This window comes from Homo sapiens, chromosome 1 (assembly GCF_000001405.40).
Source record: "Homo sapiens chromosome 1, GRCh38.p14 Primary Assembly".
NCBI lineage: Eukaryota > Metazoa > Chordata > Mammalia > Primates > Hominidae > Homo > Homo sapiens.
In genome coordinates, this window is record NC_000001.11 from 184,872,562 (window position 1) to 184,886,573 (window position 14,012).

The 14,012-nt window shown below is 40.3% G+C and overlaps 1 protein-coding gene across 6 annotated transcripts in view; it reads right to left on the minus strand.

Moving 5' to 3' along the window:
* The window catches only part of NIBAN1 (niban apoptosis regulator 1), a 183,477-nt gene that overhangs the window by 81,530 nt on the left and 87,935 nt on the right, over positions 1–14,012 (minus strand). For all 6 annotated transcript variants that reach the window (XM_047444098.1, XM_047444102.1, NM_052966.4 and 3 more), the window contains exon 5: positions 12,072–12,239. In XM_047444098.1, the coding sequence (XP_047300054.1) occupies positions 12,072–12,239 (168 nt within the window). The remainder of the gene's footprint in view (positions 1–12,071; positions 12,240–14,012) is intronic.

Consider the following 14,012-nt stretch of genomic DNA (forward strand, 5'->3'; position numbering starts at 1 on the left):
CTGGGCATGGTGGTATACCCCTGTAATCCTAGCAACTTGGGAGGCTGAGACAGGAGAATCGCTTGAACCCAGGAGGTGGAGGTTGCAGTAAGCCAAGATCGTGCTATTGCACTCCAGCTTGGGCAACAAGAGGGAAACTCTGTATCAAATTAAAAAAAAAAAAAGGTTAAGAGGTGAGGAAGATAGACTATCTAATGTACATGTAATCAGATTTCTGAAAAGAGACAGGGAATAGAGGAAAAGAGGAAATAATGGCTGAGAATTTTCCAAAGTTGCTTAAACAATAACCCACAGATTCAGGAAGACCAACAAATTTCAAGCAGTATAAATAAATAGGAAATCTGTAGGTAAGACACATTCTTGTGAAACTGCAGAATACCAAAGACAAAAAAAGATGTTTTTAGAAAAAAATAGGAAAGAAAGCAATCAAATTACCTTGAAAGGAACAAGAATTAGGCTGATAGCATATTCCTCAACTTCAGTAATGGAAGCCAGAAGATCATGAAACAAAATATTCAATGTGGTGACAGGAAAATAATTGCTGCACCAAAATTTCATATGCAGTGAAAGTATCTTTCAAGAATACGAATGAGATAAAGACATTTTCTCATGAGAGAATGAGATAAACAAAAACTGAGAAAAAGATTAGAAACATCTTTTGAACAAACTTAAAGAAAATTCTACAAGATGTACTTCAGGCAAAAGGAAAATGTTTCCAGATGGACAGTCTGAGATGCAAGAAAAAATTATGAGCAAAGAAAGCAGTGAAGGAGATCAGAACATGCCATCTCAGAATATACTGCATTGGCATATTGATTATTTTGAGCCAAAGGCAATTGAGAAACAACAGATGCAAGAAGAGCTCCCCGCCCTTGTCCTTTTTGCTTAAAAGCAAGGCATAAATTTTCCATGAGAAACGTGCCCTCCTGGTACCAGGAAGAAGAGAATATTCTTATCACCAGAGTTAAGGAGTCAATGCCAAGATGAATCTGCACAAATATACCTTAGTAAAATAACCCTTATCTTCCACTAGATTGCCCAGAGTTCCCATTTTCCCACAATTTTGCACTCTTAGGAACTCAAATCTCTTTCCTTTGTTGAGCCACTTCTCCACAATTTATTACTTTTGTTAAATTGGTATATAAGCCCCCAAGTCTAACTGCTTCTTTGGAAATTTTCTCTTTGTTTTCTGTGAAACCCCTTTTGCCATGTAAATAATGACATTAAATAAAATGTGTATGCTTTCCTCCTGTTAATCTGTCTTTTATCAGCTTAATTCACCGATTCCAGCAGAACCTAAGAGAGTATAGTAAAAGTTTTTCCTCCTCTACAGTGGTAAAAATGCAGTAAATATTACAATTTTATAAAACAGCAATAATAATATATTGATTGGTTAAAAATTGAAAAATGTAATTAAAGTTTAAGTCCACAACAACCTATAAGTGGAGAGGGGTGTTAAAGGAGCTAAAGCATTCTAAGTTATCTATATTTTTTGAGAGAAACTTAAGGATGTTGATTAATCTTTGGCTTTGATAAGTTCTGCAAGTTAAAATTTCTAGGATACCCACTAACAAAATAAAAATAGAATATACGAAATAAAAATAGAATATAAAATATATTGTGTTTATTATTATTGCTAATAATAAAGTTTTAATAATAATCAATCCAGAAGTCAAGAAAGTAGAAGAAAGGAAACAGAAAAGGTGGGATATGTAGAAAACACAAAGTAAGATAGTAAATTTACAAACAAAAATATGAGTAATTATAACACATGTAAAAAAACTAAATGCTCATTTAACGATGATGATATATCCTTTAAATGATGTATATGTACCATTTAAGTGATAAACATCTCTTAAATGATACACATCATTTAAAGACTGTCAGATGTTTTTAAACTTTAAGGCAAATAGCATTAATAGCAATAAAATGTGCCATTTCATAATGATAAAAATTTAATTCACTAGGAAGATATAATTCTAAGCATGAATCTATCTAGTAACATTACATATATATGTGTATGTATATGTGTGTGCTTATATATACACACATATACATGTGTAGATGTGTATATATACATATATAACTCAAAACATATAATTCAACAATAGAAATGCAAATAGTAAAATCAGTCAATCATCACAGTGGCAGATTTGAATGTACTTCTCTCAATAACTGAAAAATTTAGCATAGCAAAAAATCCACAGAGGAGGTCTACAGAAAATAAATAAATAAATAAAAACAAAAGTAAGGATATAGATTTGAATGACACTATTAACACACCTAAGCTAATGGACATATAAGGCTATAGAATATATATTGTTTTCAAGGGCCTATGAGCTTTTATAAAAATTGACCATATGCAGGGACACAAAGCAAGGTGTAGCAAATTTTAAAGGACGATATCATACAAATCAGATTTTCTGTCCACAGTGCAATTAAGCTAGAAATCAATAATTGACATAGAGTATATATTTGGAAATTAAGAAACACAATTCTAAGTAACTCGTAAGTTAAAAATAATAATAATAGAAATCAGAAAATATTTAAATCCAAATGATCCTGCATATCCAAACTTGTGAGATTCAGCTAATGTAGAGAGAAATCTATAGCATTTAAATGCTTGTATTAGAGCAGAAAAATGGCCGATGACTAATGAGTATATTAGCTTTCTAGTGCTGTAAAACAAATTACCCCTAAAGTTAGTGGCTTGAAACAACAAATATTTATTATCTCTCATAGTTTTTATGGGTCAGGAATTCAAAAATAGCTTGGCTGGATAGTTCTGGCTTGAGGTCTCTCATGAAGCTGCAGTCACATGTTGGCCAAAGCTGCAATCGTTTGAAGGTTTGACAGAATAGAAGCATCCACTTCCCAGGAAGTTTACTCACATGGTTGTCTTCTCTACATGGGCCTCTCCAGAGGGACGCTCATGTATTCTCACGTGACGACTAGGTTCTCCCAAATAAGTGATCCAAGAGAAAGTCAGGCAGAAATGATTCTTTTTGGTGACCTATTCTTGAAAGTCACATACCATCACTTCTGCCACAGGCTGTTCATAAGAAGTCACTATGTCTGGCCAACATTCAAGTGGAGGAAAATTTGACTCCATTTTTTGAAGGAAAGAATGTTAAAGAATTTGCAAGTGCTTTAAAATCATCACAATGAGCTAAGCATCTACCTGGAGAGATGAGAAAACAAAGCCAGCGAAATAAAGCCCAAGAAAATAGAAGAAAGACAATTTTTAAAACATCAGAAATTAACATAATAGAAAACAAATATACAATAATCTCCCCAGTCCAAATCTGTGTTTTTTTAAGGAGTTGATAAGGCCAGGCACGATGGCTCATGCCTATAATCCCAGCACTTTGGGAGGCCAAGGCGGGTGGATCACCTGAGGTCAGGAGTTTGAGACCAGCCTGACCAACATGGAGAAACGTTGTCTCTGCTAAAAATACAAAATTAGCCGGGCATGGTGGCGCATGCCTGTAATCCCAGCTACTCAGAAGGCTGAGGCAGGAGAATCGCTTGAACCTGGGAGGCAGAAGTTGCAGTGAGCCAAGATCGCGCCATTGCATTCCAGCTTGGGTAATAAGAGTGAAACTTCGTCTCCAGAAAAAAAAAAAAAGAAAAGAGGAAGTTGATAAAATTCATCAAGGAAACAAGAGAGGAGGCACAAGCAAACAAGAAAGAGGAAACAGCTACAGGCACTACAGAGAATAAAGAGGGCATCATGAATATATCCTTAAAAAGTGAGAGGATATTATGCCACCAAACTTCAAACATAAACAGAATGGACAACTTTCTAGAAAAGTGTAACCTACTAAAACTGAGTTAAGAAATGGAAAAACTGGGGCCGGGCATGGTGGCTAATGCCTGTAATTCCAGCACTTTGGGATGCCAAAGTGGGAGGATCACTTGAGGTCAGGAGTTCGAGACCAGCCCAGCCAACATGGTGAAACTCTGTCTCTTCTAAAAATGCAAAAAAAATTACCCAGGTGTGGTAGTGTGCGCTTGTAATCCCAGCTACTCTAGAGGCTGAGGCAGGAGAACCTCTTGAGCCAGGGAGGCAGAGGTTGCAGTGCGCCCAGATAGCACCACTGCACTCCAGCCAAGACTCCATCTCAAAAAAAAAAAAGAAATTGAAAAACTGAATAATCCTGTAACATTTTTAAAATTTAACTTAGTAGTTTAAGATCTTCTCACAAAGAGAACACCTAAGATGATTTTACAGGCACGCTCTGCCAAATATTAAAACATGCAAATAATTCCAGTTTTACACAAACTATTTCAGATTATAGCAAAGGAAAAGAAAAGATGCATCATTTTATGAAGCAAAAATAACCTTGGTGCAAAAATCCAAAAATGCACTGAAAAATAGGAAAATTACATGCAAATACACTCATTAACACAGATGTGAACATTCCTTTAGATATTAGTAAACCCAATCAAAACTAAATACCTTTAAACCAGCAACAAACAGTAAGTGTTCACAGCAGCACTGTCAATAATAAATAGTGGAAACAACCCAAATGTCTATCTAGAGTAACACAGATATTAGAAATTATGGTATATTAATGTAATAGAATATGTTTAGCTTTGAAAGTCAATAAATTGCAGCTACAAGCAATAACATGGATGAAGCACTGGAATATAATACTGAACAAAAAGAAGTCATGGGAGGAAGTGTAGTAAAATTCCATATGGATAAAGTTAAAAACACACAAAATGATTAAGCATATGTGATAAAGCTGTAAAGAAAAGCCAAACATAAAATCTAGTATGGAGCTTTCTCAAAGGAAAAAGAAGGCTATAGGATCAGGGAAAGACACATAAGAAATTTCAGAGGTAACGATAACGTTCTTTATACTCTATACATACTTTACAAACATTCTTCTAAATCTACTCAATATTTAATTTTAAAAACTCAAAACAACTAATAGAGTAAACAATAGCTCCAAGCATGATTCCCTCCCGTATCACGTTCTCTAAGCTTGTTCATGGTATGGGAAGAATGAATGTGGCTCACTGTTCAATAACAACAGATGAGAATTTTATCCAAATTCTCCAGGATATTTATATTTAAAAGAAATCCTGGGCTATATGCATGCCAAATAGAGTCCTTTCATAATGTTGATTATCTAACCACATATTAAAACAGCCATTGCATTTACTATGTCATTCTAATAAGTATGTTTCAATTGTAATATATCCTGTCTATAAGTAAAAGAAGAAAAACAAACCCAAAACTTGAAAGCTATTCAGGCTTTGCCACAGTTGATTATAGTAATATCAAAAACTGTCCAGTGATTTTGGAATCTACCCAATCTAAATAGCACGAACAAAACAATTTTTTTTTTTTGCTTAAATGAACTTTAACTCTGCTTATGTAATTTTTTTAATGATTGTTCCAATTTGTCATCCTGAACTATCATAACCATACAATTTTTAGACCTTCATACCAAATAACTATTTGGTTCATTGGAACTGAGGGAGATGGGGTGGAAGTCTGTGATTGCACTGAAAGAGCACCATGTTTGATGGGCCAAAAGAAGTATTTAAATGTAGTTCTTGGCAACACTGCTTTAGACAACAGTGAACCCAGGACTATATAACCCATATACTGCTGGGGAGAAACACTGAATGGCTAATAGAGAGCAGTTCTGTTTATTCTAGTCTGTGATGGAAACCTGTTCTTCTAGTTCCAACTCTTAAATTGCTTTGAGAGCTTCAAGTAATTTAAGTAAATCTGTTAAGTATAAATAATATAAAGGCATATTTTAGATGTACTATTTTTAAAGTATTCCAACCCATGCCCTCACAAGCAGTGCAATCTTCCTTTACAAATTAGAGTTTTTACTTAAATTGCATGAAATCATACATGGTTTGCATTTTAAACTACACTAAACCAGTAGAGAAGCTATGCTATCAAATATTTTATCTTCAGAGCACTTCTAAACTAAAAGATATAGTCATGGTTAGCCTGTGGACAAAATACCAAGTTAAACACAGATCATACAATTTATCGAGAAGCCAGATATACTCCAGGTCTCAGGTGATCTTAAGTGAATAGCTCTGGATTTGCTTCACTCTGGATCATGCAAACATATCATGCAAAGAATAGATTGATTTAATAGCAGCATGTTTAAAATGCCCAAGAGATGAGTCTTTTAGAAAGTAACACTGAGAAGACAACATGATATCTACAACTGAAACAGACGTCAAAGGCCAGGTATTGGGACAACTGGTTCTCAGCCACTAACTAGCTGTGACCTATTTGAGCCTTATCATAATTAAACCCTGAGGGACTGGAATAGGTGACCATGAAAGTCCCTCCCAAATTTAGAGTTTCATGGACCAGGGGTGAGGGGAAGTTGGGGAGGGAAGGGAATGACTACTTCCTAAGTAAAAACCACATACTCACAAGGAGACAGAGAGAAATATTTCTAATTGTAGAGTACTAACTATGTGAGGCAAAGAGCACAGGCTAAACTCCAGAAGAGAATGTAGCTCAAGCAGAGAGAACACTTTTAAAGAATTTTGCTTGGGATATTCCTAGGAAAACAGGAAATTAATATCTACTTATTTATTAACAGTAACTAGCAAGCATTTTGCTTGCAGTGCATAGAGGGTTTTATGTATGCATTTCAACACATGTATACTATAGAATATTTTTATAAGTAAAAGCATTCAAAGATATGTTCATGACAATTGTATTCTTCCTTATCTATCTCTAAACATTATTAGTTTGTACTAAAGTGCCCAAAGGAGCCTAAGTAAAAGTTAGAATTTTCCAACTCATAGATATGTGCATGTCCATAAACATAAGCATGTGCCACAAAATTCAAAAGTATGTTTTCACATATTACAAACTAAAATTCATTGTATATTTTCAGTTATAATTGATTGATCTCCACACTAGATGCATAGTCTCTCAAGTAATGAACTTGCTTCGTAGGTGACCAGGAAGCAATAAGCTGGGGAAAATAGAGCTGAGATTTGCTGCTGAGTGTTGCACAGCAAGAAGATCATGTTCAAATAAACACACCAAAAAGGATTTGCTCTGTCTGATTTGAATTGTAAGGTCCTTTGTTGTTCTAAATTTCAATTTAATTCCACAACATTTATTGAACACCTAAAACTTGCAAGTATCAAAATCAAATCTAATAAAGGCATGGGATTTCTGGGGTAAGAGCTTAAGGCATGTAATACTGACAGAGTAACCAATTCCAACACATAATCACTGTTATAGCTCCACATTCCACCTGACTCACTCCATACAAGCAATGTTGGATGTTACCATTGTCATAAGTGATTGAACTAGTCCAACTTGAAGCACTGATTTGCAGAGTGTCTTTATATTGTTGTGGTCTTTTCACCAAAATTCTATGGGCTTTTCTTTGATACTACCGTTTTCAACCCGTGTGCACACATGCTTCCCAGATAGTCTACTGTCCTCTCTTTCTTTGTGTTCATGACGATGTGAACACTGGCATCTGTTTAGTGGCAGTCCTGGCTGTCCTTCAAGCTAGCACAGCACTGTTGAACAAAACTTTGCCAGCATTACACCTCCTTTCCAGAATCACCATTCATCCAGTGATGGCTGCCTTCTAACATCCAGTTCCTCTGTTCCCCCAAATCCTTTAGTCTGAGTACCATGGGTTGATATTGACAAATGCCTTCCCTCACTCTGGTGCAAGCTACTGCCATCTGTTGCCAGCCAAAGCTTTTTAAGTGGCCTCCTGGCCACCCACCATGCTACCCTCTCATCCACTGCCTACACTGCAGCCATTGTGACCTTTCTGAAGTGAATATCTGATGAAGTTGCTCATTTACTTAAAATCCTAATGGCTTCCTATTGCTGTTATAATAGAGTCCAAGTTCCTAATATGCATCACAAAGCCCCTTATAGCATGGATCCTGCCCATCTTCCTCTCTCCTCTCTAAGCACCAGTCACACAAAATTCTTCCTGTTCCTTTAATGGTCCATACTCTATCTTACTTCCTGGCCCTCCCATATCCTATTCCTCCTCCAGGAACACTTTTTCTTCTTCCTGCACATTTACATGCCAAGAAATGATTATCCTGAGCTGGAAGAACAGACTTGCATCGATAATGATCATTATTCCATATCGCATGTGTTCAGCCCTCTGTATTGTCAGGAGCTTTAACTATAACCCATAACTACAATCGTATTTTGCAAACTAAAGTTCTGAAGAATAGGATTGCATTTTGGACAACAGGACTGTCTCAGAACATCTTGGCTTTATATAAGTCTCAGTTTGTGGCAGCAGACATTCAGAACCACAGCCTTCCCTGATCAGAGACAAGGGATTACAGTGTGACTCCAAAAGGGACAGAGGACAGCAGCTACTATTCTAGGATCATACTATACAGTTGGCTTGACATTTAGTCCAGTGAGGTGGAGTGGGATGTTTTACTAAGGATTAATCTTGTGGGATTTTCTTATGCCTGCCCAATGAAGAGGTGCCAAAACTAAATAAAAGCAAAACACCCATGAAAGTGCACATGTGAGCATGCACACACACACACACACACACACACAACCTTTATTCTCCTTAGGATACAAAATAATCTTTGAGGCTCCTAAAGGCTGCTCTCTCTTTTGAAGGAGGGAGAAACATAGAGCTCTCTACTGGCCCTTACCTACCTTAGGAGCTAGCCTTACTGTTGGAGAACAGGGCATAATCAGGCCCTTCATCAGGGTTAAATAGGAAACGCCCACCCTATAAGGAAAAGCAGGACAAGGGGGTTCTAGATTCAGAATGAATGAACATGAAAATGTAGCCAAATTCAGACCCAACACTTCTGGCGCAAGTGGGCTAGGTTGTGGTGGAATTTGAGTGCTAGGAGACATGTCCTGGAACCCCAAGCGAGATCAACATGCCTAGCATCAGCTGCTAGCGTTACAGGAAAGGGGTCCCGATCCAGATCCCAAGAGAGGGTTCTTGGATCTCGCGCAAGAAAGAATTCAGGGCGAGTGCACAGTGCAAAGGGAAAGCAAGTTTATTAAGGAATAAAAGAATGGCTGCTCCATAGACAGAGCAGCCCAGAGGGCTGCTGGTTGCCCATTTTTATGGTTATTTCTTGATGATATGCTAAACAAGGGGTGGATTATTTACGCCTCCCCTTTTTAGACCATGTAGGGTAACTTCCTGACGTTGCCATGGTATTTGTAAACTGTCATGGCACTGGTGGGAGTGTAGCAGTGAGGATGACCAGAGGTCACTCTCATTGCAATTTTAGTTTTGGTGGGTTTGGGCTGGCTCCTTTACTGCAACCTGTTTTATTAACAAGGTGTTTATGACCTGCATTTTGTGCTGACCTATCTCATCCTGTGACTTAGAATGCCTTAACCATCTGGGAATGCAGCCCAGTAAGTTTCAGCCTCATTTCCAGCTCCTGTTTAAGATGGAGTTGCTCTGGTTCACACGCCTCTGATACTAGAATGCCTAGGACCCGGTTCTCAACAGAGAAGCACGGTGGCCTGAGAGTCAATGAAACAATGGCCACAGCAGGCTGACAGCCCTTCCTCATCTGCATGCGGGTAGAGGATAGCAGGCTCCCAGCAGCCACCTCAGGGTTTCTGGCCCTTATCCCAGCCCTAATTTTAACTATATTTCTTAACTTTTTGGGTAATTATGGGAAAAAGTGGTTAAGTGGCAGCTTGTGAAAGCCTGTTTCTGGTTTACTCAAAATAATACAATGAGTAACAGGCAGAGACTAGAACAGAAAATGTGACACAATAAAGATGAGTGGTACATCATGCTGTCAAAAACAGAAAAAGAGGCGAGAAAAGAAAGGTCTGCTCCTTGGCCCATGATAGTCAAGGACTGTTCCCTACAATGTTATCACAGCTTCTGGTTCTGACTGGAGCTACTGGAAGTTATGCCAAATTAAGTCCACATAAAGCCTCAGCGAGGATAAAACAGTTTCTGGGCAGAGGAATGTGACACAGAACCAAGGAAATATGACTAGACCTCATTATCTTGGTGCCTTTGATAACATACTGGAGAGCAGAGTGGGGTTTTGAATGGGCTGAAATCTTCCATAAATGGAGTCTAAATGCAGGCTACATAACATCCAAAAACTCCTCAGAGAAAGTCCTATTATGTACATGAAAGGGGGAATGCAGTAAGTCCCATTTGGCTGGGCAGGGAGCATTCTGCACTCAGTGAAACTTCGCAGTTCCTGTGCTGAGTGCCAACTGCATGTTCCTACTAGACCGAGGCCCTAAACACAGACGGGCAAGTGTAGTGGAAAATGAGCTAAAGGGTGCAGTCAGTGCTGGGCAATTTTTTGTCTCTAGAACATCAAAAACACAAGGCAAGATTTTAATAAGGGTATCATTTTTTTAAAAAAGTTCCTAACTAGTTATGATCCAGTATGATGATGAATGTTACTCAGGGTTGCTGTGGCAAAACAGACTGACCTTATCTTTTTCCGTGAGTCCCCATCAATACACAGCTAAAACCAAGAGTTAGTTGAGATGCATCACTAGTGACTCTCACTCTGTGGGACTGACACTCTCAGGGAAACCTCTGAATTTTAAAATAAGTATACAGTGAAATTAACCATATTAGGAAATAAAGGCACAATGGGTGAGGTGACTCAGCTCAAATGTCACCTGCTCATACAGGACTCCCCTGGAGAGCTGAAAGTTCGGCACTCCTTTCTTCACTAGTTAGTAACCTCTCGTTGCTCTTTAACCCATTAACTGTGATAACTTTCAAATGATAATTGGTGGGTGTTTATCCATCCTCCCTGTTTGAATTTCAACTCCCAGAGACAGGAACTCTGTATGCTTCATTACTCTCTTCCTAACACCTACGTAGAGGCTGGCACAGAGTAAGCCCTCAGTACTCTTAGACTGGCTGCCTTTCCAAGTGCCAAGAACAAAGAGCGCAGTTATCTGTAACTGAAGACTTTGTGGAGTCCAGAAAAACCAGCATTCACCTCAGTATATCAAAAACATCACATATTGGAATGAGAAGTCTCTTTTACTATTGATGTCACATTGCTTAAGTCCATGCCTGGAGGCAAAGTGGCCTGAAGCAACACCACCCCAAGGGTGGTTCGCGAACCAGCAGCATCAGTGCCACTCGGCCGTGTGCTAGAAAAGCCAAGTCCAGGCCCCACGGTGTACCCAGTGAGTCAGAATATCTGGGGGTGAAGCCTAAGAATGTGTGTTTTAATTAAGTTCTCCTGGTGATTCTTATGAGCCCTAAAGTTTTAAGAAACACTGATCCAGAAACAAATACTAGATTACCACGGACCGTGCCACTCATCTTAACTGAGTAACTGTTATTCAGAAATAAAGGTGAAAATAAAAAGGAAATGTCAAAAAGACTAGCATTTGCCAGGGAAAACTGGCATGTTCTTGCTGGCATTTAGATTTTTTTAAATCAGGAAGAAGGAGAGTGAAGTATATGCAAAATGGTCTACATGAATAAACTCAGGACAGTCAGAATGTGACACCCCCCAACTTGCAGCCAGATAACTGCCCCATGTTCTGCTTCACCGGGGCCTCCCAGGCCTGCCTGAAAACCAGCAAGCAGGTGAGGCTCCTTGTGCACAGAACTCTCCCTTTACCTGTTTCCCTCTTCTTCCCTGGGCAGCACCATCTGTGGCTCTTTTTTTTTTTTTTTTTTTTTTTTTTGAGATGGAGTCTTGCACTGTCATCTGGGCTGGAGTGCAGTGGCGCGATCTCGGCTCACCACAGCCTCTGCCTCCCGGGTTCAAGTAATTCTCCTGCCTCAGCCTCCCAAGTAGCTGGGATTACAGGTGCCCACCACCACGTCCAGCTATATTTTTTTGTATTTTTAGTAGAGATGGGATTTCACCATATTGGTCAGGCTGGTCTCGAACTCCTGACCTTGTGATTTGCTGGCCTCAGCTTCCCAAAGTGCTGGGATTACAGGCATGAGCCACCGCACTTGGCTCATCTGTGGCTCTTTCTAAGAATCACTGCAATAGATGATGGACCAGAACAACTCAGCGAGGGCTGCCCCACTTCCCGCCCCGGGGATGAGAGGGGAGCCGCGCCATACCATGATTGAGATGCCTGACGCAGTCACTCAGGAGGGCACTAAACCTCTTCTGGTCAGCAGCCTCGTGGAAGCAGAAGTAGCCGTGTCTGAAGAAGGGCTGCCACAGGTACACTGGGAATTCCTTGGGCAGGACCACAAAGGGCTGAGTGTTCTCCTTCTCACTGGAGGCTAAAGAAATATTGAAAACACAAATACCTTTTAAAACATGTATCTTTTATTTCAAATGTGTGTTTCAGGTCGTGAGGGTGACTATCTGGGGCAGGCCATGGGATGGAAAGTTGGTGAGATATTTTCACAGGATAGGGAAACTGGGAGCACTGGCTCCTCTGGCATCCCTCCACCAGCTTCCCCTGTCCCACTGCGGTCTGCCTGGCCTCCTACCCAACATCACAGGGACAGTGAGGATACCAGGAACACAATTTTTTCTCTTTTTTGAGACAGAGTCTCGCTCTGTCACCCAGGCTGGAGTACAGTGGCACAATCTTTGCTCACTGCAACCTCCACCTCCCAGATTCAAATGATTCTCCTGCCTCAGCCTCCTGAGTAGCTGGGATTATAGGCGCATACCACCACCTCCAGCTAATTTTTGTCTTTTTAGTAGAGACAGGGTTTCACCTTGTTGGCCAGGCTCCTGACCTCAAGTGATCTGCCCGCCTCAGCCTCTCGAGTAGCTGGGATTACAGGCATAAGCCACCGCACCCGGCTAGTTTTTTTGTATTATTTGTAGAGACAGGGTTTTGCCATGTTGCCCAGGCTGATCTCAAACTCCTGAGCTCAAGCGAGCCACCTGACTTTGCCTCCCAAAGTGCTGGGATTACAGGCATGAGCCACCGCGCCCAGCCTGGGCACAATCTTTCTCAACTTCCTTATGTCTAAAGACCCACAAACGGAGCTTCCTCTGCCCTCCTGCCCCTCTGCAGGCCACTGACAACCTGTGCACCCCCTCACTCTACTGGCCCTGCAGGCTCCAGCTCCAACAGGGCAGCTCTCTGCCCTGCACTCTCTCCCTCCTCCCTGTCACTGCCAAACACCACTTGCTGTTTTTATGCCATCAACCTTATTCTCACCTCAGTCTGATTCCTGTCCCCACCAGCTCCTGAAACCCAACTGCTGAAGCCATTTATGTCATCCTGACTGCCAGCCTATGGCTGCTTCTTTTCATCTGACCTGGAATATTTGCTGCTGCTAACAACCCCTTCTTTTGAAAACATTATCTCCCCATGACTTCCAGGAGTGCCTCTCTCCTGGTTTCCTTCATGCTTTGTAGAATTTTGTTTCTTCTTTATCACCTTTATTGGTTCCTCTGCTGACTCTCTCCATCTCCTCGCTAAGCATCGGTGCCTGCCCTGTTCTGTGCTGGCTTCCCCTCCACTCTCAGTCTGTACCCTCCCAGGGTGTGTTCACCCATTCCGTGACTTTTTATATTGTTCCTACAGTCCATAGAACCCTCTCTTCCCTCCTTTCCATCATGCTTTCCCATAAAAAAATTCTCATTCATCCTTCAAAAGTCAGTTCAAAAGCCACTCCTCTGGGATGCCTTTGCTGGCACATCCCACTGCCACCAGAGACAGAGTTAGGTGCTTCCTACCCTGTTCTCCCCAAATACTGCAATGACCTGTTTTCATGCCCAGCGCCCACACTCAGGGTAGGGAGGCGGGGGAGGGGAATGAGATGGATTCCCGTGCTGTTCCCCTCCGCAAGGAGCAGAACCACTGCTACCCACTGTGAACGTCTAGAGATGCAGACTGCATCTTCCATAGCTTTGTATCCTTAGCCCACAGCACAGTCATGGAACATAGCAGATGTTCAACTTCAGTTTGTTGAGTGAAAAATGTGCTTTGTTGGCCTAGGATATTTTTTTAAAGCCCTAGACAATGGGACTTTTACCTCTTCCCTCAAAATCAATTCCAAGCAACTCATTTTAAACCGACTACTATTCAG